Below are 26090 nucleotides of genomic sequence, written 5' to 3'. Positions count from 1 at the left end.
GATTCCCTCATGTGCCTACATCACCAGGGTCCTGAGTTTCAAGCACAAAACTGGGCAGCTGTTTGGGAAGACATTGAACTAGCTTTAGGAGTATTTTTTCATACCCCAGTGGCGCCTGGAACCCCAGTGAGACAGAACCGTTCACTCCCCTGGAAAGCGGTCTGAAGCCAGGAAGCCAAGTGGTCTCACTCAGTGGGTCCCACTCCCACAGAGTCCAGCAAGCTAAGAACCACCGGCTTGAAATTCTCACTGCCAGCACAGTAGGCTGAAGTTGACCCGGGATGATCGAGCTTGGTGGGGGGAGGGGTGTCCACCATTACTGAGGTTTTAGTAGGCAGTTTTCCCCTGACAGTGCTAAGGAGGCTGGGAGGTCTGGGCTGGGCATGGCAAAGTGACTCTGGCCAGACTGCTTCTCTAGATTCCTCCTTACTGGGCAGGGCATCTCTGAAGGAAAGGTAACAGCCCCATTCAGGGGCTTACAGACAAAATCCCCATCTTCCTGGGACAGAGCACCTGGGGAAGGGGTGGCTATGGGCACAGCTTCAGTGGATTTAATCGTTCCTGCCTGCCAGCTCTGAAGACAGCAGCTGATCCTGACAAGAGGGATTCTCCCAGCACAGTGCACGAGCTCTGCTAAGGGACAGACTGCCTCCTCAAGTGGATCCCTGACCCCCGTGCCTCCTGAATGGGAGAAACCTCCCAACAGGGGCCAACAGACACCTCATACAGAAGAGTGCTGGCTGGCATCAGGCCAATGCCCCTCTGGGACGAAGCTTCCAGAGGAAGGAGCAGGCAGCAATCTTTGCTGTTCTGCAGCCTCCACTGGTGATACCCAGGTGAACAGGGACTGGAGTGGACCTCCAGCAAACTGCAGCAGACCTGCAAAAAAGGGGCCTGACTGTTAGAAGAAAAACTAACAAACAGAAAGCAACATCAACATAAAGGATCCCCACACAAAAACCCCATCCAAAGGTCATTAGCCTCAAAGATCAAAGGTAGATAAATCCACAAAGATGAGGAAAAACCAGCTCAAAAATGCTGAAAATTCCCAAAACCAGAATGCCCCTTCTCCAAATGATTGCAACTCCTCCCCAGCAATGGCACAAATCTGGACAGAGAATGAGATTGACAATTTGACAGAAGTAGGCTTCAGAAGATGGGTAATAACAAACTCTTTTGAGCTAAAGGAGCATGGTCTAACCCAATGTTCTTGATAAAAGGTTACAGGAATTGCTAACTAGAATAACCAGTTTAGAAAGGAACATAAATGACCTGATGGAGCTGAAAAACACAGCACGAGAACTTCATGAAGCATATATAAGTATCAATAGCTGAATCTTTCAAGCAGAAGAAAGGATATCAGAGATTGAAGATCAACTTACTGAAATAAGGCATGAAGACAAGATTAGAGAAAAAAGAATGAAAAGGAATGAACAAAGCCTCCAAGAAATATGTGACTATATGAAAAGACCAAACCTACGATTGATTGGTGTACCTGAAAGTGAAGGAGTGAATGGAACCAAGTTGGAAAACACACTTCAGAATATTATCCAGGAGAACTTCCCCAACCTAGCAAGACAGGCCAACATTCAAATTCAGGAAATACAGAGAACACCACTAAGATACTCCTCAAGAAGAGCAACCCCAAGACACATAATCCCCAGATTCTCCAAGGTTGAAACAAAGGAAAAAATGTTAAGGGCAGCCAGAGAGAAAGCTCAGGTTACCCACAAAGGGAAGCCCGTCAGACTAACAGTGGATCTCTCTGCAGAAACCCTGAAAGCCAGAAGAGAGTGGTGGCCTATATTCAACATTCTTAAAGAAAAGAATTTTCAACCCAGAATTTCATATCCAGCCAAACTAAGCTTCATAAGTGAAGGAGAAATAAAATTACAGACAAGCAAATGCTAAGGGATTTTGTCACCACCAGGCCTGCCTTACAAGAGCTCCTAAAGAAAGCACTAAATATGGAAAGGAAAAATTGGTACCAGCCACTGCAAAAACATACCAAAATATAAAGACCAAAGATACTATGTAGAAACTGCATCAACTAATGTACAAAATAACCAGCTAGTATCATGATGAGAGAATCAAATTCACACATAATAATATTAACCTTAAATGTAAATGGGCTAAATGCCCCAATTAAAATAATCAGACTAGCAAATCAGATAAAGGGTTAAGACCCATCGGTGTGCTGTATTCAGGAGACCCATCTCACATGCAGAGACACACATAGGCTCAAAATAAAGGGATGGAGAAATATTTACCAAGCAAATGGAAAGCAAAAAAAGCAAGGGTTGCAATCTTAGTCTGTGATAAAACAGACTTTAAATCAACACAGGTCAAAAAAGACAGAGAAGGGCATTACATAATGGTAAAGGGATCAATGCAACAAGAAGAGCTAACTATCCTAAATATATATGCGTCTAATACGGGAGCACCCAGATTCATAAAACAACTTCTTAGAGACCTACAAAGGGACTTAGACTCCCACACAGTAACAGTGGGAGACTTTAACAGCCCACTGTCAATATTAGACAGATCAACAAGACACAAAATTAACAAGGATATTCAGGATTTGAACTCAGCTCTGGACCAAGCGAACCTAATAGACATCCACAGAACTCTCCACCCCAAATCAACAGAATATACATTCTTCTCAGCACCACATAGCATGAATTCTAAAATTGACCACATAACTGGAAGCAAAACACTCCTCAGCAAATGCAAAAGAAGAGAAACCATAACAGTCTCTCACACCACAGTGCAATCAAATTAGAACTCAGGATTAAGAAACTCACTCCAAACTACATGGAAATTGAACAATCTGCATGGGACTACATGGAAATTGAACACTCTGCTCCTGAATGACTACTGGGAAAATAGTACACAACTACATGGAAATTGAACAATCTGCTCCTGAATGACTACTCGGTAAATAATGAAATTAAGGCAGCAATAAAGAAGTTCTTTAAAACCAATGAGAACAAATAGACACATACCAGAATCTCTGGGACACAGCTAAAGCAGTGTTAAGAGGGAAATTTATAGCACTAAATGCCCCAAAACAGAAAGCTGGAAAGATATAAAATCGACACCCTAACGTTACAATTAAAAGAACTAGAGAAACAAGAGCAAAGAAATTCTAAAACTAGCAGAAGACAAGAAATAACAAATATCAGAGCAGAAATGAAGGAGATAGAGACATGAAAAACCCTTCAAAAAAATCAGTGAATCCAGGAGCTGGTTTTTTGAAAAGATTAACAAAGTAGACGGACTGCTAGCCAGACTAATAAAGAAGAAAAGAGAGAGGAATCAAATAGACACAATAAAAAATGATAAAGGGGAGTTCACCACTGATCCCACAGAAATACAAACTACCATCAGAGAATACTATAAACATCTCTATGCCAATAAACTAGAAAACTTAGAAGAAACTGATAAATTCCTGGACACATACACCCTCCCAAGACTAAACCAGGAAGAAGTCGAATCTCTGAATACACCAATAACAACTTCTGAAATTGAGGCAGTAATTAATAGTGTGCCAACCAAAAAAGCCCAGATCCAGATGGATTCACAGCTGAATTCTACCAGAGGTACAAAGAGGAGCCGGTAGCATTCCTTCTGAAACTATTCCAAACAACAGAAAAAGAAGGACTCCTCCCTAACTCATTTTATGAAGCCAGCATCATCCTGATACTGAAACCTGGCAGAGACACAACAAAAAAAGAAAATTTCAGGCCAATATCAATGATGAACATTGATACAAAAATCCTCAATATAATACTGGCCAACTGAATCCAGCAGGACATCAAGAAGCTTATCCAGCATGATCAAGTTGGCTTTATCCCTGGGATACAAGGCTGGTTCAACATACACAAATCAATAAACGTAATCCATCACATAAACAAAACCAATGACAAAAACCATATGATTATCTCAACAGATGCAGAAAAGGCCTTCGATAAAATTAAACATCGCTTCATGCCAAAAACTCTCAATAAATTGGTTATTGATGGAACATATCTCAAAATAATAAGAGCTATTTATGACAAACCCATAGCCAGTATTATACTGAATGGGCAAAAGCTGGAAGCATTCCCTTTGATAACTGTAACGAGACAAGGATGCCCTCTCTCACCACTGCTATTCAACATAGTATTGGAAGTTCTGGCCAGGACAATCAGGCAAGAGAAAGAAATAAAGTGTATTCAAATAGGAAGAGAGGAAATCAAATTGTTTCTGTTTGCAGACGACATGACTGTATATTTAGAAAACCCCATTGTCTCAGCCCAAAAACTCCTTAAGCTGATAAGCAACTTTTCAGCAAAGTCTCAGGATACAAAATCAATGTGCAAAAATCACAGGCATTCCTATACACCAACAACAGACAAGCACAGAGCCAAATCATGAGTGAACTACCATTCACAATTGCTACAAAGAGAATAAAATACCTAGGAATACAACTTACAAGGGATGTGAAGGACCTCTTCAAGGAGAACTACAAATAATCAAATAGGAAATAAGAGAGGACACAAACAAATGGAAAAATATTCCATGCTCATGGATAGAAGGAATCAATATCATGAAAATGGCCATACTGCCCAAAGTAATTTATAGATTCAATGCTATTCCCATCAAGCTACCAGTGAGTTTCCTTGTAGAATTAGATAAAAGTACTTTAAATTTCATATGGAACCAAAAAAGAGCCCATATAGGCAAGGCAATCCTAAGCAAAAAGAACAAAGCTGGAGGCATCACGCTACCTGACTTCAAACTAGGCTACAAGGCTACAGTAACCAAAACAACATGGTACTGGTACCAAAACAGACATATAGACCAATGGAACAGAACAGAGACCTCAGAAATTACACCACACATCTACAACCATCTGATCTTCAACAAATCTGACAAAAACAAGCAATGGGGAAAGGATTCCCTATTTAATAAATGGTGCTGGGAAAACTGGCTAGCCATATGCAGAAAACTGAAACTGGACCCCTTCCTTACACCTTTTACAAAAAGTATCTCAAGATGGATTAAAGACTTAAATGTAAAACCTAAAACCACAAAACCCCTAGAAGAAAACCTAGGCAATACCATTCAGGACATAGTCATGGGCAAAGACTTCATGACTAAAACATGAAAAGCAATGGCAACAAAAGCCAAAATTGACAAATGGGATATAATCAAACTATAGAGCTTCTGCACAGCAAAAGAAACTATCATCAGAGTGAACAGGCAACCTACAGAATGGGAGAAAATTTTTGCAAGCGACCCATCTGACAAAGGTCTAATATCCAGAATCTACAAGGAACTTAAAGCAAATTTACAAGAAAAAAACAAACAACCCCATCAAAAAGTGGGTGAAGGATATGAAAAGACACTTCTCAAAAGAAGACATTTATGTGGCCAACAAACACATGAAAAAAAGCTCATCATCACTGGTTATTAGAGAAATGCAAATCAAAACCACAATGAGATAATATGTCAGTTAGAATGGCGATTATTAAAAAGTCAACAAACAACAGATGCTGGCGAAGCTGTGGAGAAATAGGGTCTTGCTCTGTCACCCAGGCTGGGGTGAAGTTCTTTTACACTGTTGGTGGGAGTGTAAATTAGTTCAACCATCGTGGAAGACTGTGTGGTGATTCCTCAAGGATCTAGAACCAGAAATACCATTTGACCCAGCAATCCTATTACTGGGTATATACCCAAAAGATTATAAATCATTCTACTACGAAGACACATGCACATGTATGTTTATTGCAGCACTATTTATAATAGCAAAGACTTGGAACCAACCCAAATGCCCATCAGTGATAGACTGAATAAAAAAATGTGGCACATATACACCATGGAATACTACGCAGCCATAAAAAAGAATGAGTTCATGTCCTTTGCAGGGACATGGATGAAGCTGGAAGTCATTATTCTCAGCAAACCAACAGAGGAGCAGAAAACCAAACACTGCATGTTCTCACTCATAGGTGGGAGTTGAAAAATAAGAACACATGGACACAGGGAGGGGAACATCACACAACAGGGCCTGTCAGGGGGTGGGGGGCTAAGGGAGGGAATAACATTAGGAGAAATACCTGTAGATATCTATAAGGTCCACTTGATCCAGAGCTGAGTTCAAGTTCTGAAAATCCTTGTTAATTTTCTGTCTCAATGATCTAATGTTGACAGTGGGGTGTTAAAGTCTCTCACTATTATTGTGTGGGAGTCTAAGTCTCTTTGTAGGTCTCTAAGAAGTTGTTTCATGAATCTGGGTGCTCCTGTATTGGGTGCATATATACTTAGGATAGTTAGCTCTCCTTGATCCATTTACTATTATGTAATGCCCTTCTCTGTCTTTTTTGATCTGTGTTGGTTTAAAGTCCGTTTTGTCAGAAACTAGGATTGCAACCCCTGTTTTTTTTTTTCTTTCTATTTGCTTGGTAAATTTTCCTCCATCCCTTTGTTTTATTTTATTATTTCATTTTATTTTATTTTGTGTGTCTTTGCACATGAGATGGGTCTCTTGAATACAGCACACCGATGGGTCTTGACTTTTTATCCAGCTTGCCATTCTGTGTCTTTTAATTGGGGCATTTAGCCCATTTAAGGTTAATATTGTTTTGTGTGAATTTGATCCTGTCATCATGATGCTAGCTGGTTATTTTGCAGACTTGTTGATGTAGTTGCTTCATAGTGTCATTGGTCTTTGTACTTCAGTGTGTTTTTGCAGTGGCTGGTAATGGCTTTTCCTCCAATCTCTTCTGGCTTGTAGGCTTTCTGCTGAGAGGTCCACTGTTAGCCTGATAGGCTTCCCTTTGTAGGTGACTGGCTTTTCTCTCTGGCTGCCCTTAACATTTTTTCCTTCATTTCAATCTTGGAGAATCTGATAATTGTGTGTCTTGGGGTTGATCTTCTCATGGAGTATCTTACTGGGGTTCTCTGGATTTCCTGAATATGAATGTTAGCCTGTCTTGTTAGGTACGGGAAGTTCTCCTGGATGATATCTTGAAGTATGTTTTCCAGCTTGGTTCCATTCTCCCTGTCTCTTTCAGGTTCCCCAGTCAGCTGTAGGTTTTGTCTTTTTACATAATCCCATAGTTCTCAGAGATTTTGTTCATTCCTTTTCATTCTTTTTCCTCTAATCTTGTCTGCCTTCTTATTTCAGCAAGACAGTCTTCAAGCTCTGAAATTCTTTACTCTGCTTGGTATATTCAGTTATTGATACTTGTGGTTGCATTGTGAAGTTCTTGTGTTTTTCAGTTCCATCAGGTCGCTATGTTCCTCTCTAAACTGGTTATTCTGGTTAACAGCTCCTGTAATCTTTTAGCATGGTTCTTGGCTTCTTTGCACTATTTTGTCAATTCATCCAAATCAGCCTTCACCCAGTTCTGTGTCCTTGCTGGAGAGGTGTTGTGATCATTTGGAGGAGGAGAGGCATTCTAGCTTTTTGAGTTTTCAATGTTTTTTTTTTTCATTGATTCTTTCTCATCTTCGTGAGTTAATTTATCTTCGATCTTTGAGGCTGCTGACCTTTGGATGGGGTTCTTATGGGGACTTTTTTGTTTATGCTGTTGTTGTTGTTGTTGCTTTCCTTCAACAGTCAGCCCCTCTTCTGTAGGGCTACTGTGGTTTGTGGGGGGTCCACTCCAGACACTATTCAACTGGGTCCCTCCTGCACTTGGAGGTGTCATCAGTGGAGGCTGCAAAACAGTAAAGATGACTGCCTGCTCCTTCCTCCGGGGTCTCTGTCCTAGAAGGGCACCAATCTGATGCCAGTGGGAATGCTCCAGTATAAGGTGTCTGGCAACCCTTGTTGAGGGGAGTCTCACCCAGTCAGGAGGCATGGGATCCAGCACCCGCTTAATGAAGCACTCTGGCTGTCCCTTAGTGGAAGGGGTGCACTGCACTGGGAGGAATCCCACTTGTCTGGACTACCCAGATACCTCAGAGCCAGCAGGAGAAAGACTAAATCGGCTGATCTGTGGAGACTGTGGCTGCCCCTCAGGGGCTCAGTCCCAGGGAGATCAGAGGTCTGTCCCTAAACCCCTGGCTGGAGTTGCTGAAATTCCTGCAGGGAGGCCCTACCTAGTAAGCAGGGATGGGTTACTGCAGTGATGGCTGCCATTCCTGTCTCTGGGAGCTCAGTGGTCTTAGGCAGCAGTCAGATGCAGTGATGGCATCTGCCCCTCCCCTGGGAAGCTCAGTCGTCTTAGGCAGCAGGCAGCTGCAGTGATGGCCTCTGTCCCTCCCTCAAGGAGTTCAGTTGTCTTAGGCAGCAGGCAGCCTCAGTGATGGTGACTGCCTCTCCCCCGAGGAACTCAGTAGTCTTAGGCAGTCTCCAGCCGAGTGGTCACTGAGAATCTGCACAGCTCTGTGCTTGAGATCCAAGGCCCTGGTGGCATGGGCTCATAAGGGGGATCTCCTGATCTGTGGGTTGCACAGATCCATGGAAAAATTGTGGTTTCCCAGGCAGGGTAGCACAATCACTCAATGCCTCCCTTGGCTGGGGGTGGGAGCTCCCCTTGCCCTGTGTGGCTCTCAGGTGGGCCATCGCACCACCCTGTTTTTCCTCTCTCTCCATGGGTTGTGCCAACTGCCCAAGTCAGTCTCAATAAGAGGGCCTGGATACCTCAGTTGCTGGTGCAGGATTCACTCACCATTTTTGTTCTTCTCAGTGGGAGTCTCCAACCACAGCTACTACTAGTTGGCCATCTTGGCCCCTATTTCCATTTATTATCTTTACTGATTTTTTTAAAATTACAGAAGCAATGTCTGTACACATTTGTTATCACTTTTATTAGTCTTTTCACATAATCAGCTTTACATTAATACTCTTTGAACATCATTTCTTTTCTTTAACTTTCTTCTGGATTATTTTGCTGCTCTTTTGCTATCTTGGTGAGATAAGTGTTTTAGCGCATTCACTTTCAGCTTTTATTCTTTCCCACTATACCCATTGCAAGGCTGTTTCCATTTAGCACCACTTTAACTTGATCCCACAAGTTTTGAAATGGGTATTTTTATTATATTTCAGTTCAAGGTAGTTTCAGATTTCTATTATGAAATTATCTTTAACCTGTGGGTTATTTAGAAATGTGTTTCTTAATTCAAATATATGGGAATTTCCTGGTTATCATTTTGTAATCAGGTTAAAGATTGACCACATTTTGAATAGAAAACATGCTCCATGTGATTTCAATTCTTTGCAATCTCTTGACATTTGCTTTATGAACAGTATTTGGTCAATTTTTATAAATGTTCCATGTATGCTTGACAAGAATGTGCAGTTGCTGGGGGCAATGTTCTCTAAGTGGTAATTAGGTCAAATTTATCACATTATTCAAGCATTTTATATCCTTTTTCTATTAATTACTCAGAGATGTGTTAAAACTTTCCACTAATTGTAATTGTGGATTTGTAGTTCTGTCAATTTTGGGGTTATACATTTTTAAGGTTATGCTAATAAGTGCATACAAATTTAAATGTCCTATATTTTTCTAGTGAACTGAACCTATTATCATTTTGAAATGATCCTTTTTATTTCTAGTATTACTTTCAACTTTCAAGTCTATTGAGTCCTCAATAGCTACTCCATTTTTATTTCGGTAAGTATTTATGTTGTTTATCTTTTCTCACTTTTTTACTTTCAATATTTATGTAAACATATGTCAGATGTATCTCTTGTAAACAACATATAGTTGAACTTCATTTTTTTATTCAGTCTGACAATCTTTGCATTTTATTTTTTTGGTTTTTTTTGGAGACAGGGTCTCGCTCTGTCACCCAGGCTGGGGTGCAGTTGCACAATCTCAACTCACTGCAACCTCTGCCTCCTGGGTTCAAGTGATTCTCATGCCTCAGCCTCCTGAGTAGCTGGGATTACAGGCACGTTCCACCACACCCAGCTAATTTTTGTATTTTTAGTAGAGACAGGGTTTCACAATGTTGAACAGGCTGGTCTTGAACTCCTGACCTCAGGTGATCTGCCTGTCTCAGCCTCCCAAAGTGCTGGGATTATAGGCATGAGCCACCAGGCCTGGCTAATCTTTGCATTTTAATCAGAACAATTAATATATTTGCATTTTATCATTGAGGTGGATTCATTACATTGATGGTTGTATTATGGCTTCCTTGCATCCACGTCCTTTAAAATGTGATTTTACAATTACGTAAGGCCTACTCTCAGGCCCCTTAAGTGTTGCTCTGTTATCTGATTTGACCAAAAGTTTGTGGGTGAAATGATGGTATGTCAGTTCTTAGCATAGGACTCAAGAGGCCTTGCATGTTTCTGCTTTTTCTTTGAACCCTGCCTCTGCCATGAGAACAAGCCCAGGCAGATTTCTGGAGTATGAGAGACCATGTGGAGCAGAGACAGGTTGTCCCAGCTAAGGCCTTCCTAGACCAGGTTACAGCCAGCCAACCCTCAAACAAGTGAGAGAGCCAAGGTTTGATCAGCAGAGCCGCCTATCCAATCCACAGGTGACTACTGACACATGAGGACCCCAGCTGAAGGCATAAGATCCACCTAGCTGACCTATAGTCTCAAAGAAAAAAATATATGCTTCCTGTTTTAAGCCACTAAGATTTGGGGTGTTTGTCACACAGTACTGGCAAAGTGACAGGAACATACATGCTGATATACCACTATTTATGTTTAAATCTACCATTTTCATTTCTTTCTGTTTAATCCACATGTTCTATTTTTCGTTTTCTCTTTGCCTTACCTTACTAATTTGGAAGCTATATATTTGCTTATTATTTGGTTACCATAGAAATTACAACATGAACAACATTAACCCACTAATATCTAAAGTTAGTCACTATATTTATCTCCATCCCAGATAATACGAGGTCCTAGAATACAATATCTCCATTTACTCCTTCCGACTACATATGCTTCTGTTGCAGTGTATTTTAATTTTATATTTTTAAACCCCACAAAATGTTGTTACTGTTGATCTATATCAAACTTGTCCAACCTGTGGCTGACGGGCCACTACATGGGATCCAGGATGGCTTTGAACGTGGCCCAACATAAATTTGTAAACTTTCTTAAAACATGAGATTTTTTTTTTGTGATTTTTTTCTAGCTCATCAGCTATCATTAGTGTTAGTGTATTTTACGTGTAGCCCAAGGCAATTCTTCTTCCAATGTGGCCCAAGGAAACCAAAAGATTGGATACTCCTAATTTATATGGTCAATGTTCATTTAGCCTTATCCAACATAGTTAGTACTTTCCTTGTTCTTTAGCTTTTCTTGCATCTCAGACCTTCTAACTGGGGTCACTGTCCTGCCTTAATTATAAGCTTTATAATTTCTTTTAGTGTAAGAATACTAATGGGAATTCTCTTAGATTTTGTTTTTATTATTTTGTTTCAAATGTCTTTATTTCACCTTCATTCTTAAAAGACATATTTGCTGTGCATAGAATTCTAGGTTGGTAATTTCCTTCAGTACATTGAACATATCATTCATTATCCTATCTTCTGGCTTCCACCGCTGCTGTTATGAAATCAATTTGTTGATCTCCACTCTTTTGAAGGTAACTTCTCTTTTCCTGGTTGTTTTTAAATTTTTTCACCTTATATTTAGAGTTCTGTAGTTTCACTGTGATGTGACTAGGTGTAGATTTCATTTATCCTTTTTGCGATTAGCTGGGCTTATTTAATATGTAGTTTGTGTATTTCATCAGTTCTGAACAATTTTTGCCATTATCTGTTTTAATACTGACTCTACCCTATGCTCTCCATTGTGTCTTTTAGAAACTTCAGTCAGATGTTAAACCTCCCAACTCACTTTATCCTCCAAATTTCTTAGCCACTTTCTCATATACTCTATCTTCTTTTCTTTTTGTACTACATTCCAGAAAATCTCTTCTAGTCTGTTTCTCAGTTTATGGATCTCTTTTCAACTGTGTCTAGTCAGCTGTTAAGCCTCCTCATTAAATTTTAACTTTGTGTATTACATATTTCATTTATATAATTTCTTTTGGTTTCCTTTCAGGTCTTCTGGATCACTTTTTGCAATTTCTTATTCTCTTCAGATATTTTCATGCTTATCTTGTATATCATGAGATATAGCAGGCACAGTCGTTTTATAGTCTATGCATGATAATACCAATATTTAAAGTATTCATGGGTCTGTTTCTGTAATCTATTTTTTCCTTCCAGTTCTTTTACATGATGTCTTATTTTCTTGTGTGACTGGTTATTTATTTTTTCATTGTATGCTGGTAATTGCCCTTAAAAATTAGCCATGAGGATTCTTTGAGACAAGATGAAAGTAACTTCTTCCAGAGAGGAGGTATATTTGCTTTTTCCAGATATTTAGAGACAGTGATATTTAAATCTTTATATTATTTTAAACTAGTTATGTGTTATGAATTCAGGCTGCACATCTATATGAGGACTGCTTTTTGTTTACATTTGCTTAGGGACAACTTTCCTCTTTTCTGCTCATATCAAGGCAACCTTCCTTGGAAATTCCTGAGTGGGGAGAAGAGGTAGGTTTATTTCTGACCTGATGGTATAGCCACTGGGGTTTCATTTTAACCCTTAGGAAGACGTCAATTCACATTTACCATTTTAGATGGAGCCCTGGGCTTTGATTTCCATCATTTCTACTGTTCTAGACTAGCAGAACAAAAATTTATGTTTCCTTGAAATGCCTCTGGATCAAACAGTCTCTGTGATATGATAAAATATACATTTGGTCTTTGTCCATCCCTGTATTCTCTCCATTCCCATTTCCTGGCAAAAAGTTCCTAAAACCCTTGGAATTGCAAGAGTAACGAGAATGTTTTTTATGCTAATGAGATGGCTGGTAACTGGGGTGTGTGAGCCAGATAGCTTCAGGATGGGGGCTGGTCACTGGAAAGACCAAGGCATAATTAGAGGGGTGGGACCTCCAGCCCCATCCCCAACCTCTGGGGAGGGGAGAGGAGCTGAAAACTGACTTGATTACCAATAGCCAATGATTTCATTTATCATGCCTACATAATGATGTCTCCACAAAAACCCAAAAGGACAAGATTCAGAGAACTTCTGGATAGATGAACATGTGGAGGTTCCTGAAGGGTGGTATGCCTGGAGAGGGCATGGAAGCTCTGTGCCCCTTCCCACATACCTTGCCCTTTGCATTTTTTCTATCTGGCTGTTCATCTGTATCCTTTGTAATATCTTTTATAATAAACGGGTAAATGTAATTAAAGTGTTTCCTTGTGTTCTGTGAGCCACTCTAAGCAAATTAATAGAACCCCCCAAGAAGGGGGTTGTCAGAATCTCAATTCTTAGCTGGTCAGTCAGAAGCACAGGTCACAACTAGTGCTTGCAACTGGCATGTGATGTAGGGAGGCTGGGTTTGGTGGGGAGGAGCCGTCTTGTGGGAATGATCTTTCAACCTGTAGGATCTGACACTATCTCCAGGTAGGCAGTGTCAGAATTAAATTGAATTAGAGGGCACCCAGCTGGTGTCTGCTGCTGAATTGCCTGGCTAGTGTGTAGGGAAAACCCCCTCACATATCTGTGTTGAATGGTGTGTAAGAGCAGGAAAAGTAAGTTCGGTTCTAAGAGCTTTGTGTCTACCTTAATTCTCAATGTTCTCATTTTCCCATAGATCCTGGCCTAGTAATTATGTTATACCTTACCAGCTCCCCAAAACTTTAATGAAGGTTTTTATTTTGTCTAGCATTTTGTATTGTTTTTAACTCAAGAAATGGTAAAAACAACCAAACTCATCATTGTCAGAAATAGAAGTTCAATATATTCCTAATCTTATACAGATTAAAACTCAAAAACTACTCTTTTCAAACCGTACAGACATAGAATAAAACCTGAAAAGCACTCTTCAACTACTCTACCTTACTCCTCATATCTATATCCTCCCAGGTGTTCATCCTGTCAGTTCCCTTTCTGTGTTTCCATATTTTTAATGTCTACATATTTATTATGTTGTTTTTAAATAACATTGGGTCATAATATAAATAGTTTTATGCCATATTTCATTCAATGAACTGTCTCTGGATCATTTCATGTTAGAACAGGAGATTTACCTCAATCTTTCTCCCCCTCCTCCTCCTCCTTTTACAGTCATATTATCTACTGTAATATAAACAGTATCATATAGATTCTACATCTATAAATGTGGAAGTACTATGATATACTTAGTTTTACCAATTATTTGGCATTTGGTTACTTTCCAAAGTTAAGTAACTACAAACAATAAAGCATGGCAGCTTACTACATAAATAACTTGTGCATATGTGTATTTCATTAGAATATATTCCTAGTACTAAAACTACTGGGTTCAAATATATGTATGCTTTAAATTTTGATAGACATTGTGAAACTACCTTCCACCAAAAGTCATGTTACACTTCTACCAACATGTACAGTGTACATTGTCCTGAATACTAATAAGTCATTGATATTATTGGTTTTTAAATTTTTAAGTCAATCTCATTGGCAAAAATGACATCGCATTATTTTAATTTAAGTTGTATTTCTCTGATGAGAAGTGAGTTGGGCTTACATTTTCTGGCTATTCATATTTCTTCTTGTGAGTTTTCTCTTTATATGCTTTGCCTTTTTTTTTCTATTATCTCAACTGTCTTTTTTCTTACTAAATTTGTAGGATTTCTTAAAAATTCTGTTAAACATGCTGCAAATATATTCTCCTGTCTGCTTATGTATTTTCACTTTATGATGTATTTCATCATATAAAACTGTAAAAATGTTTGTGAGCTACATGTTACAAACCTTCAGGAAGTATGAGAAAGTATAGTAGAACATTTTCATTAACATGAGATGATAAATGCCTTTCTAAGATATAAAATGTATCTTGTTTTAGGGTCCTGAGAAATCATATTGGGATTTGTGATTGGGAATTAAGTAAATTTGTAATTTAATTAGGATAAATTGGCATCTTTACAATATTAAGTCTTGGAATTTGTTAACATTGTAAATATTCATTTTTAAGCTTCCTTTTTGTTCCTAATTGTATTTTTATTTATTTATTTATTTAGAGACAGGGTCTTGCTCTGTCACCCAGATCAGAGTACAGTGGTGTAGATCATGGCTCACTGCAGCCTCAGCCTCCCAGGCTCAAGTGATTCTCCCTCCTGCCTCAAGCCCAACAAGTAGCTGGGACCACAGGTGCGAGCCACATGCCTGGTTAGTCTTTGTATTTTTTGTAGAGATGGAGTCTTGCCATGTTGCCCAGGCTGGTCTCAAACTCCTGGGCTCAAGTGATCCACCTGCCTCAGCCTCCCAAAGTGCTGGGACTACAGGCGTGAGCCACCATGCCAGGCCTGTTCCCAATTTTATTGTGTATGTCAGAGTTACTTTTTATAAGGTGTATTTTCTGATATTTCATAGTTTCTTTGCCTCTATAAATGGGGTACTTTTTCTAATACTATTTTCAACAGCTTATTATTGGTATGAAGAAATATTAATTATTTTGATATGTTAATCTAGTATCTGGCCTCATTGTTATATATTCCAATTAATTCCAAAAGTGTAATAGTTGAATTCTTGGATTTTCTGGAGCGTCAGTGTTTGCTTTTATTGGTCAACTATTCTCTTTCAAATTCTTATTTCTTTAGAAGCTGCTATTATCTTTATGAACTTCTTTTTTCCATTTTTTAAAATTTTGCCTTACTTTGGTATTTCTCTAGGTTCCTGAAGTAAAAGCTTCATTCATTACTTTCTAATCTTTCTTGTTTTCTAATAAGTACATTAAAGATGTATAATTTCCTGTCAGCACAGCTTTGGTCACATCCCAGAGGTTTTGACATATAGTATTCTTATTATCAAATTCATTTATATATGATTTATTATTTTAGCTTTATTTCCTCTTTAATTCAGAAGCATTAAAGTATTTTTAAATGCTTTTTTAAAAAGGATAAAAAATAAAAAAACAAGATAGAACAAAAAGCAAGAAGATAATTCAAGAGGTTCATAGAAACATAGAGTAAAAAGTATCTATGTACTTTGGAATCCTAGTGTCTCCCTCCAGTTCAACACTTAGAGGCAAGCATATTGAAAAAATCAAATATTTTTAAATTGCACAAGAGTATCTTTGACACATATGCCCCATTTCTCACAAATTGCAGCATACTATACAATTGTTCTGTACCTTATATTTTTATTTTCTGAAACACCTTAACCGTTTCATATAAGAACATCCAATTATTTTTAGAGCTGCAAGTAATTCGTCTCGCTCTATTGATGGACATTTAGTGAGTTTTCATATTTTTGCTAATATAAACACTGGCTGCAAGGAAAATCCTTGCACATAGATATTTGTGCTCATGTAAAGAAAATTATCTGTAGAACAAATTCCTTTAAGTGAAATTGCTAAGTGTAAAGGTATGTGCATTTACAATTTATTAGATATTGCTAAGTTACTATGAACAAGTATTACAGTAACTTTCATTACCACCAAAAGTATGTAAGAACTCTATTTTGCTATGCTGTATATCAGGGGTTCCCGAGCCCTAGTCCACAGCCTGGGGCTTGGAGACCCCGATATATAGCATGGTGAAATAACTGTGCTATTCAGGCCTGTCCATGGCTGTTAGGAACCGGGCCACATAGCAGGTGGTGAACTGCGGGCAAGCATTACCGCTGAGCTCCGCCTCCTGTCAGATCAGCAGTGGCGTTAGATTCTCATAGGAACGCAAACCCTATTGTGAACTGCACATGCCAGGGATCTTGGTTGCCCACTCCTTATGAGAATCTAATGCCTGTGGTGGAACAGTTTCATTCCAAAACCATCCCCTAGCCCCAACCGTCCATGGCAAAATTGTCTGTCACGAAACCAGTCCCTGGTGCCAAAAAGGTTGAGGACTGCCGCTGCATATCATCAAACTTCTAGTCTTTTCCCACAAAGTTATCTCATTATTTTAAAATTTGGTTGTCTATAACTTTGACCAAACATCCTCTTCTTAAAGTTTAAAGGCATTTGTATTTTGTTTTCTGGAAGCTTGTGTCCACTGTCTACCCCACTACCCATCCCAATTCCAACTAGATAAGTTTTTGGCTATCCTGACCCATTATTTTCTAATTTTATAATATTATGATTAGAAAATGTGATCTGTATGAGTATGCTTTTTGAGATACTTGAAGATTTACTTTCAGTTTAATAGATGTTCAACTTTTACAAACATTCCATAGATGTTTGAATAAAATATATGTTTTTTTCTGAATTGGGAATAAGGTTGTCAACACAAGATTTTAAGTATATTTATTTGATAAAATGTGTTAACTATGTTATGCAAATCCTCTATAGTCTTTCTTATGTTAGTTGATTTGATCTGATTTATGAAAGAAGCATATTAATGACTATTATAATAACTGAAAAATTTGTCAATATATGCCTGTATTTGTTGATATGTTTAAAAGCTGTAGTCTTAGTTACACTGTTTCATAACTATTTTCTGGTGGATTGTAGTTTTTAGTGTCATCAAGTCTATCATTATTAACCACTAATATTCCTGTATCTGTTTGTTGTTGGCATTTAGTTCATTATATATTTCCCATCCCTTTCTTTTAAGCCTTTAGGGGTTTTTTAGGGGTATCTCTGAAAAACATGTTTTTAATTCAATCTGAGAGCATCTATTAATAGAAGACTTTATTAATATTTATGGTGATAACCCAAATGCTTTTTTTTCCTTCCTGCTTTTCGTTGATCACTTTTTTCCTTTTAGTAGTTTAGAAATTATCCATCTAATCTTTTTCTATGAAAACCCTTAATATTTTAATACACACAAACGTGTATTTTTCCATCAATTTTTATTGTTAATTAGTACCTATTATCTCACCTAAACAGGGAAAGAAAGTAAACTTTAACTTACATTCTCTTAGGATTTTCTTGGATTTTTCCTTGTAGGTTATTTAATCTTTTTAACATTATACATTAATACTTATTCAGACAACTATAATTTTTACCGATTTCTTTCTACATCATTGTTTCTTGAATTCAATGCCTCCTTTTTTTTCAGAATGGTTTTGTGGGTTTTAGATGGGATTTATATTCCATCAATCCGATACACTTGGGTAAGATTTGAATTCAGAACTGGGCTAAGTGGGGAAGTAGGAGTAGCATGCAAAAGACTCACTTTGTTAGTGTAAATTATAGTAGGGTAACATGGTTCTGGAGCCAGATTCTGGGGAGCAGAGTAGGGAACTTCCTGATCCTCAGCGCAGCTAAAGCGGTATGATCCTGGTGCTCACAGCTGGGACAACAGTCTCCTGTTGTCCTTGACTGTAGCAAAGTGCTCCATGACCATAGCAAGGAGGCAGTTTCCTTTGTGGGCTTGTTCTATGGTATAATTCTGGGAGATATCTCTGGAGGCTCAGTCTAGAAACTGCTTCCTCAACGCTTTCAAATATTTTGTAGATATCTAATTCCTTGCTTACTCTAACCAGAGTGACTTGTATGATCTGTAACTGAATCATGACTGGTCAACCATCCTTGACTATTTCTTCATCCATGCTCCACCTCGTCAGTTAGTGTGTTCTGTCAGGTTTCCTCTTCTCCATCTTGCTGCCCTGGCTCAGGCCCTCATAATCTCTCCTGGCCTACAGAGTAACCATTTGATTGGTCTTCATTACTTCAAGCTCTGCCTGCTCAAATGGCAGCCTTTCTACAATGTAAATCCAATTATATGATTGCTTGTGCTTCATTACAAAACACAAGTTTTCATTTTTGCTTGGCATGGATTGGAAAGCTCTTCAAAGTCAGACCACAATCAGTCTTTCTAGCTTCATTTCCTATCATTTATTCATAATCATCCCATGTTCCAATTATACTGAGCTATTTACAATTACTTGTGCTTTTGCAGATATCTTTTCCCCATATCCTCTACCTGAAAACTCCTACTCATTCCCAAAGAACTAGATAAAATGTTTTCTCCTTTGTGAAGCCTTCCCCAGTGTTATTCCAAAATATGGTTAGTCCCTCCTACAGCCCTCCCTTATAGCACCTGAAACATTACGTTTTAATTGTATGTGTATATCTTTAACTTATTAGACTATAAGCCATACGAGAATAAGGACTTCATCTTATTTATCTTAAGATCCCCAACACTTTCAATAGGCCAGTCTAGGATACATGTTTATGGAACACATAATTAGCATAGTTAGGAGGTATGTGGAATTTATTTCTTTTTCTAGTGTAACAGTAATTCTATAAAAAACTACAAAAATTAAAGGTTACCTGGCATCACCCAGAATGGAAATCAGACGATACTGGGGTAACTCAGAAGATGCTACATGTGCTAGGATTCCAAAGAGCCTTTCAGCCATTATCATATCATTCTGTGTCACCTGAAGAGACACAATAGAAAGGGGTAAAAAAATGACACCAACTCTTAGCTGAATAAAACTGATATAATCCCAAAGAGAGATCCAAATTAAATATTATCTTTTAAGCCCACAAAAGCACATTCTCCTGTGCTGTGGAAAGAAGAGTTTTCATTGATATTTTTCTTTCTTGAGTTAAAATGAAGACGTATAATTGTGGTTCATGATGATGGAAGCTGATTGGAGGTGATGAGTCAGCTCTGATTTAGAAGCTGTCTTTCCTGAGAATTACACTTGAGGTACCTTCAATTTTTAGTATTTTTTTTTTTCAGAAATCCTATAGCTTCTTGGATTAGAATGATTTAGAGGAAAAAATTCCCAAGTATCAATGGGATAGATTCATTTTAATAATGTGTCAAAGGTAAGCCAAGGTGTTGGTCATACCTTGCTCCTATAGGGATAATTTTGTCCCTTCCTGAGAGATGGAACTTTCACTGAATTAGCAAGGATGCTCCTGTTCATTCTATCAGTCTTTCTCCCCAAAAAGAATAACTTGTCACAAGTATACCCTATGAGGACCCATTCTTACATTAACCAAGAAAGTACTAAAAGCTGAAAGCAGTACCTGTATTACTATCTGGGGATATTTTCTTTAATATAAAATAGGGTTGCTTACATTTTAAATACTGTTTTTTTGTCTATATATAATTCAATGATCCCAGCCAAGAGCCATTTTGCCCCCTACAGAACAACTGGCAATGTCTGGAGACATGTTTAGTTATTTCTGGACATTACGGGCATCTAGTGGGTAGAGACCAGGGTTGCTGTTAAACATGTCACAATGCAGAGGACAGCCCCCACAACAAAGAATTATCTGGCTCAAAATGTCAACAGAGCCAAGGTTTAGAAACCCTGGTATAATTAAATTTTGGATCTTTTGAAAATTTGTTCCTGACACTATCTGTAATACTCTTCACAGGCATTTTCTTTAAAACAAACCAATAATTCACAAACATACCTATGAATCAGTGCAGGCTAACTCTCTTCCCTTCCCTGGATCTTCACAGTTAAGGAGACTTCAAATTCTTCCTTAGCTAATAACTAAGTAGTGTTTGGTCCAATATAGTCACCTAGTGGCCAATGCAGGCCACTACTCCATGTTTTCTTGATGCTATTAATTCAATTTAATTCTACCTCAAGCAATATCATTCTTTTTTATACACAGAGAAGTAAAAATGCAGTGTAACATTACTATCTAAGGTCAAGGACCTAACAAACAGGAATATATTTTAGGTATTTTAATAAAGTGTCAAATATCCCTGGCATTGAGATTTTCAGAAATTTAAATCAGAATAAATTATATTGGTTCTTTCTAATTCTTTCTAATTCTTCTCCACTTTATATAACTACACTATTCCTTCCTGATTCAAAGTTTGATAATAATGGGTATTATTCTAGTAATAATCCATATCTGGGTAAATACACCATTTAGGGTTAACTGAGGTAACGGTGTGTTACCTCAATTAAGGGAGACTCAGTCACCCACAGTAAAAATAACCATTCTATTTCCAGTCTGGGCTAACTTTGAAAACCTTTAGGACTAATTATTAGGTCCTTCCAGGGACTCACAACCTCACCTCGGGGGAAGTACCAAATAGTATACATGAGTACACAAGACTGAGCCAACCCTCTTGAGAACTAGCTGGAGAAATTAAAAGTCATCTGAAGATTCAGATTTACCCAACATCTTCAGCAGATGGCTGATTCTGAGGTTACAGAAATACCATGGTTGATGCAAATTTCATATAGCTGCTTGTACATTGATCCAGAGATGTACAGTCTCCTCATAGTATGCTGAATTTTTGGAGTTAAGTATCTACCTGTACTGTATCAGCTGCAGGGAAACACAGTTACTGTGCCAGAAAGTTGATTACAGTTAATCTTACAATAAAGAGGTCTTCTGAATTTCAAGAGATATTGTAATAAGACTAACAACATATTAAAGATGTTTTTTTTTTCCTCTGGAGGAGTGTTTAAATTTAGTAGAGGTGGAAGCATAGCTTCTCTCTTTCCTTCCAAATTAATATTTTAAAAGAACATGGCTTTTGAGTAGCTGGGGGATTACCTTGTGACAAGCTTAGCAGAATCAATCTAAAAATAACTTTTCACTAATAATTTTCCAGCTATTCAGCTCCAGACCTGAGTTACCCAATGTAGTCATGGCACAGTGGTTGCTACCAGCTATTAACAAAGCTTTCCAGACATTTACTTATACTTATTTTATTTTCTTTTTCTCTTATTTTCACTTTCTCTTATTTTATCTTTCTTCCTGGCTTATTTCTCCTTTTCATCTCTTCTTTTTGTAAGTCATCTTCTTCCTCCCCTTTTTTTTCCATTTTATTCTTCCCTTTCTCTACCACAATACCCTTATTAGTTGACATTTAGGTTTTACTTCCTTATCCCCTCTTGCATAGCAGGCAGTCTGCAAAGTACTTTGAGAAATACAAAGATCACATTACTTATAAAAGAGTTATTTTTTATTTTTATTTTTAACTGTCACCCCACCATTTTATTTCACTGAATGCTTACAAACAACAGTATAAGTATTTGCCATTTACTATAACCTGGTTACTATTTTATTTTTACAATTTATTTAGTTCTTTGGAAGTTTTAAAATAGATTCTTAGCCTTTTGACATTTTAAATGTCAATTTAAAAAAAACCATTATATCTCAAATGTTCTATCATGGTTACTTAAATTCCTAAACATTTAAAGTAACTATTTTCACTAAGAAGGAATATTTTTATTCTATAGTTCATCTAGTTTTTAGCTTACCTCTGTTCCATTTATTTTCTGCATACTGAAATGGCTTAGCCTAAACAGTACATAGTATTTCCAGAGTGTAAAATTGACAACTGGATTTCCTTGAGGATCAATTGTCAACTGGTCAATACGACGGAGTTGGGCTAGTGCGTTAAATTGCTGCAGCATTACAAGATTTGTTTCCTTGAATTTAAGGTGCTGCAATGATAAAACACAAATACAGATCAGAACATTGATTTTAACCATATTGAAATATTAACATTAAAGCTTCACTAATCATTCCCCAGGTAAATATGTAAACTTTAGGCTTAGCAAATATGTTTTCAATTACATTAAATCAACTGAATGTACTAAACTTACATAACTTTAATTCATCCAATGCACCATTGATGGAATCCATCCAATATTGAATTCTGGGTGACTCCTTCTACAAATGACAGTCTCACTTATAAACCAACATTCTTTAAAGATACATAAATATCAAATAATGCAGATTCTTTCAGGAATTATTGATTTTATATGCTTTACATTGACATTAAATAAATTTTTTTAAAAAGACTGGAAATGAAAATTTCAGAACTTTATAAATACAGGCCCCCACAATTTTCCTGAGAAGAACTAGTTAGTTATTATTACTTGTATCTTGCCAAACACTACGTAGGATAGTTATACTGGCTATAGAAAAATCAAATCACTAAAACTGCAATGTTAACGCAAGCATTCTGTCTGTGAATCTAGATGCTCTTTTCTAAACATACTGTCTTCACCTCTAACTATCTTTTTTAGGGAGAATGAAGTGAAAATAAAAACAAAAACCCACCAAAAAGGCAGGTGAGGGAAGTCTCTTGGCTGACAGAGAAAAACACAACAATAATAGAAACTCAAGAGAGAACTCATTACAGAAATCACAGTTTCTACAAATGCATACTAAATAATACAATGACACCATAATTGAGGAAGGCTAATTTCTCAAAGTAATTTTAATGAGCTATTAAAATTATTTTCAACATTGTTAGGGGACAACTGTAAAAATTATACAGTAAATATACATTTCACCATTACCAGGTACCATAGGTGAATACATAAGGCTATGTGGTAAGGTGAATCACTTATAAAGTAGAAATATATAACTTGAATAAAATTATATCAGTCTTTTTCTACTCCACAAAGGATCATTTTTTTTGAGATAGAATTTCAAATGTTAACATAAAACTTCAAGGCCATTTATGAATACTAATTTAAATCCTAGCTCAAGAAAATCAACACAAAACTTAAATCTTCCTGCCAGATAGAAACTACATAAATACAAGTTAAAACAGGTCTTTGGCCTGAACACACAAGTCATTGACTAAGAATATTCAAATATACTACTAAAAGGAAATATTTACCAGAGAATTAGGAAACTTAATCTTCAGTTTAGGAAGCACTTGGACGATTTCATCAAATTCTATGAAAGTGAAGGAGACTGTTGTGATCATTCCTGCTGTTTGAACACTCCAATTCCTATCCAGAGATTCCAGTGCTCCTGAGCCATATAGGGAAAGTGTATCCCCGTCCACTTCAACAAGGTATGTGTCTATGACAGATAAACCTTGTAAAGCATTGTTGAGTCCTGAGTCTAGAGGCCTGGAAAACCCAAAGTATAATTTTAAATGAAAGATATCATGCAGAATACCTAACAGTATAATGACCTGTCAGAAAAGCTCTTCACAATTTTATATTCTTTTTTCATTTCAGTAATTAAACCTAGAGCATTAAAGACTAATTTTCAATAGACTATCTAGCAGTTTTGTATTATTCTAATCATATATTTTAATTTAAGAGGCATGTTATGAACAAAAAAGATCACCTCTAAACCCAAATTATTTCTATCCATGAAAGATAACTAATATTCCCTTTAGTTTTAAAACAAGCCGTTTACTACATTATGGTTATCTTTCCATGTCAACACAGATAGGTTTTCCCAATCTATAAACTTTTCTGACTAGAAAAAAGTACAGTTTACAAATTAGTATTTCTATAGTAAGAACCATACATATAAAAATATGTTTATGAACCAAGTAATAACTGCTAAAAATAGTTTATTTCTCAGAGGTTGTATTAGGGGGTAACTCTAACTTTCTACTTTTGGATACTTCAATGGTTTTTGAAATTTTTAAAGTGTATACTACAGTTATAATCAGTAAAATCAGTGTAGATTTCCTCCTCACTTTGAAATAAGAAACAGTGAAAAGGAATCATTATTTATATTATATATACACACTATATATATATATATATATATATATATATATACATGCTTCTCATACTGCACTGAATTTGGTAATTATTATTTCCAAGGTAGAAGCCACATTTTTTATATAAGGCTATCTAAATCATAGCTAGAGAATAAATGAAATATCTTAATCCAACTCATATTATCTGCTTTGTGAATAGAGACATAACTATTTGTTTTACCCAACCTCAAAACTTAAACAAAGCATGGTTTTTGTTTCTGCATTTTCCTTCTGGGATTTCTCCTTTCATCCAGTATTTATTTGCCCCTACTAAAATTAGTGTCTCGCTCTTATTTGTGCTCCCATGGTCTTTGGTATACTCCTGGAACACACTTCTCATAACTATATTACAATTTTATGCTTACAATTTTGCCTGTTATTCCAGATAGTGAGTGAGGCTAAAGATTATATATTTTTTCATCTTTGGGGACCCAAAATCTAGTAATCAGCTTTTAACAATGTATACTGAATGAATTATTAAATATCTTCAAACATTTACAATGATGTTAAGGGATAAAACTAAGAAAGCGCTGCCCTGTTGTTTATCATACTTATTTCAGAGGTACCAGTTAACCTTCTACACATTTGTTTATTCAATAACAAGATGAATAATGACATCAGTCTACTTTAAGTGAATATGCAACCAAGAAAATACAAAAAGGCTTGATTTCTACCAGACTAGCACTTAAGACAATGATTATTATGTGACAAAAATCAAATATCCAATGAGTAGTAGTACATGAATGGTCTTAGATAATAATCTTAGAAAGGTGAAGGCTGATAATAGGAAAAACTAACTTAACAATTAGTTCCATACATTGTGCTTTGTGTGATACATTGAGTTAGATTATATCTCATTGAGGTTGCTTATATAATCAATACTGGAACAGAACAAAGGACAGCTTCACTGCCACTAAAACAAAGAAGATGAAAAGAGTGCATACTGCTATTACAATACTTGCCACATTGTACTGCAATTACTTGTTGCCTTATCTATATCTCTCTTACTAAACACAGTGATCCTTGAGGGCTTGAATTTTGTCACGATTACTATAGTAGATCCAACATCTAGTACAGCTCCTAGCCTATGCTCTGCTCAATACATATTTCTTGGATGAATTAATGAAGTGGGACAATGATGAAGTTTTTAATGAGTATGTATTATATCTTAAGAAGGATGTTTGAACCATAAGCTATAGTTTCAGTAAAGGGGCAGAATCAGTGATATAGACACAGAATCAGGTTTAGCAAGAAGGTTTACCCACATAGGGACGCCTGATGGCCACAGTAACCAGCAAAAAAGTTTAATGTAAAAATGATGGGGAATCAGAGTTATGTATCAAAAACATCAACAAACCCTTTGGGAAATGATGTTGCTCCACATCATATATTTAAAAGTGTCTTGCTTTTCTTTTTCCACATAATTAAAAGTTTAAGAATATAAGCTCCACAATAAAAAGTCTGTCATCAGAAAGGGATTATTTATTTTGTGTAAAGGGCTTGTCAAGTAAACTCTTCAGGAAATAAGTGACATAATAAACAAGGCTACATTCAGTAAAACAGTGACATGGTTACAAAACAAAGCAGAAGTAATTTCCAATTTATATAGCTATCACATGCCCATTTGGTAAAAACAAACGGCAAGTCTCCTGGGCTGCAGACAGGCTCATCCTTTTC

The 26090-nt window shown here is 37.0% G+C and overlaps 1 protein-coding gene across 5 annotated transcripts in view, besides 1 other annotated feature; it reads right to left on the bottom strand.

Annotated features, from left to right (window-relative positions):
* Positions 1-26090, bottom strand: part of LRRC49 (leucine rich repeat containing 49) — a 200281-nt gene that overhangs the window by 21517 nt on the left and 152674 nt on the right. For all 5 annotated transcript variants that reach the window (NM_001284357.2, NM_001199017.3, NM_001363732.2 and 2 more), the window contains 3 exons: positions 23526-23763; positions 22150-22335; positions 19229-19338 (listed from right to left, as the gene is read on the bottom strand). In NM_001284357.2, coding sequence (NP_001271286.1) covers positions 19229-19338; positions 22150-22335; positions 23526-23763 — 534 coding nt within the window. The remainder of the gene's footprint in view (positions 1-19228; positions 19339-22149; positions 22336-23525; positions 23764-26090) is intronic.
* Positions 8283-8881: an enhancer, noted in NCBI's record as "H3K27ac-H3K4me1 hESC enhancer chr15:71315600-71316198 (GRCh37/hg19 assembly coordinates)". NCBI's record gives its function as "activates a minimal SCP1, AML or CMV promoter by ChIP-STARR-seq in primed H9 embryonic stem cells {active_cell/tissue: H9 hESC(primed)}" and the evidence as "EXISTENCE:reporter gene assay evidence [ECO:0000049][PMID:30033119]".

Source organism: Homo sapiens, chromosome 15, assembly GCF_000001405.40.
Source record: "Homo sapiens chromosome 15, GRCh38.p14 Primary Assembly".
Lineage (NCBI taxonomy): Eukaryota > Metazoa > Chordata > Mammalia > Primates > Hominidae > Homo > Homo sapiens.
The sequence above is the reverse complement of the archived record's forward strand: the minus strand, read 5'-3'. Positions and strand labels throughout refer to the sequence as shown.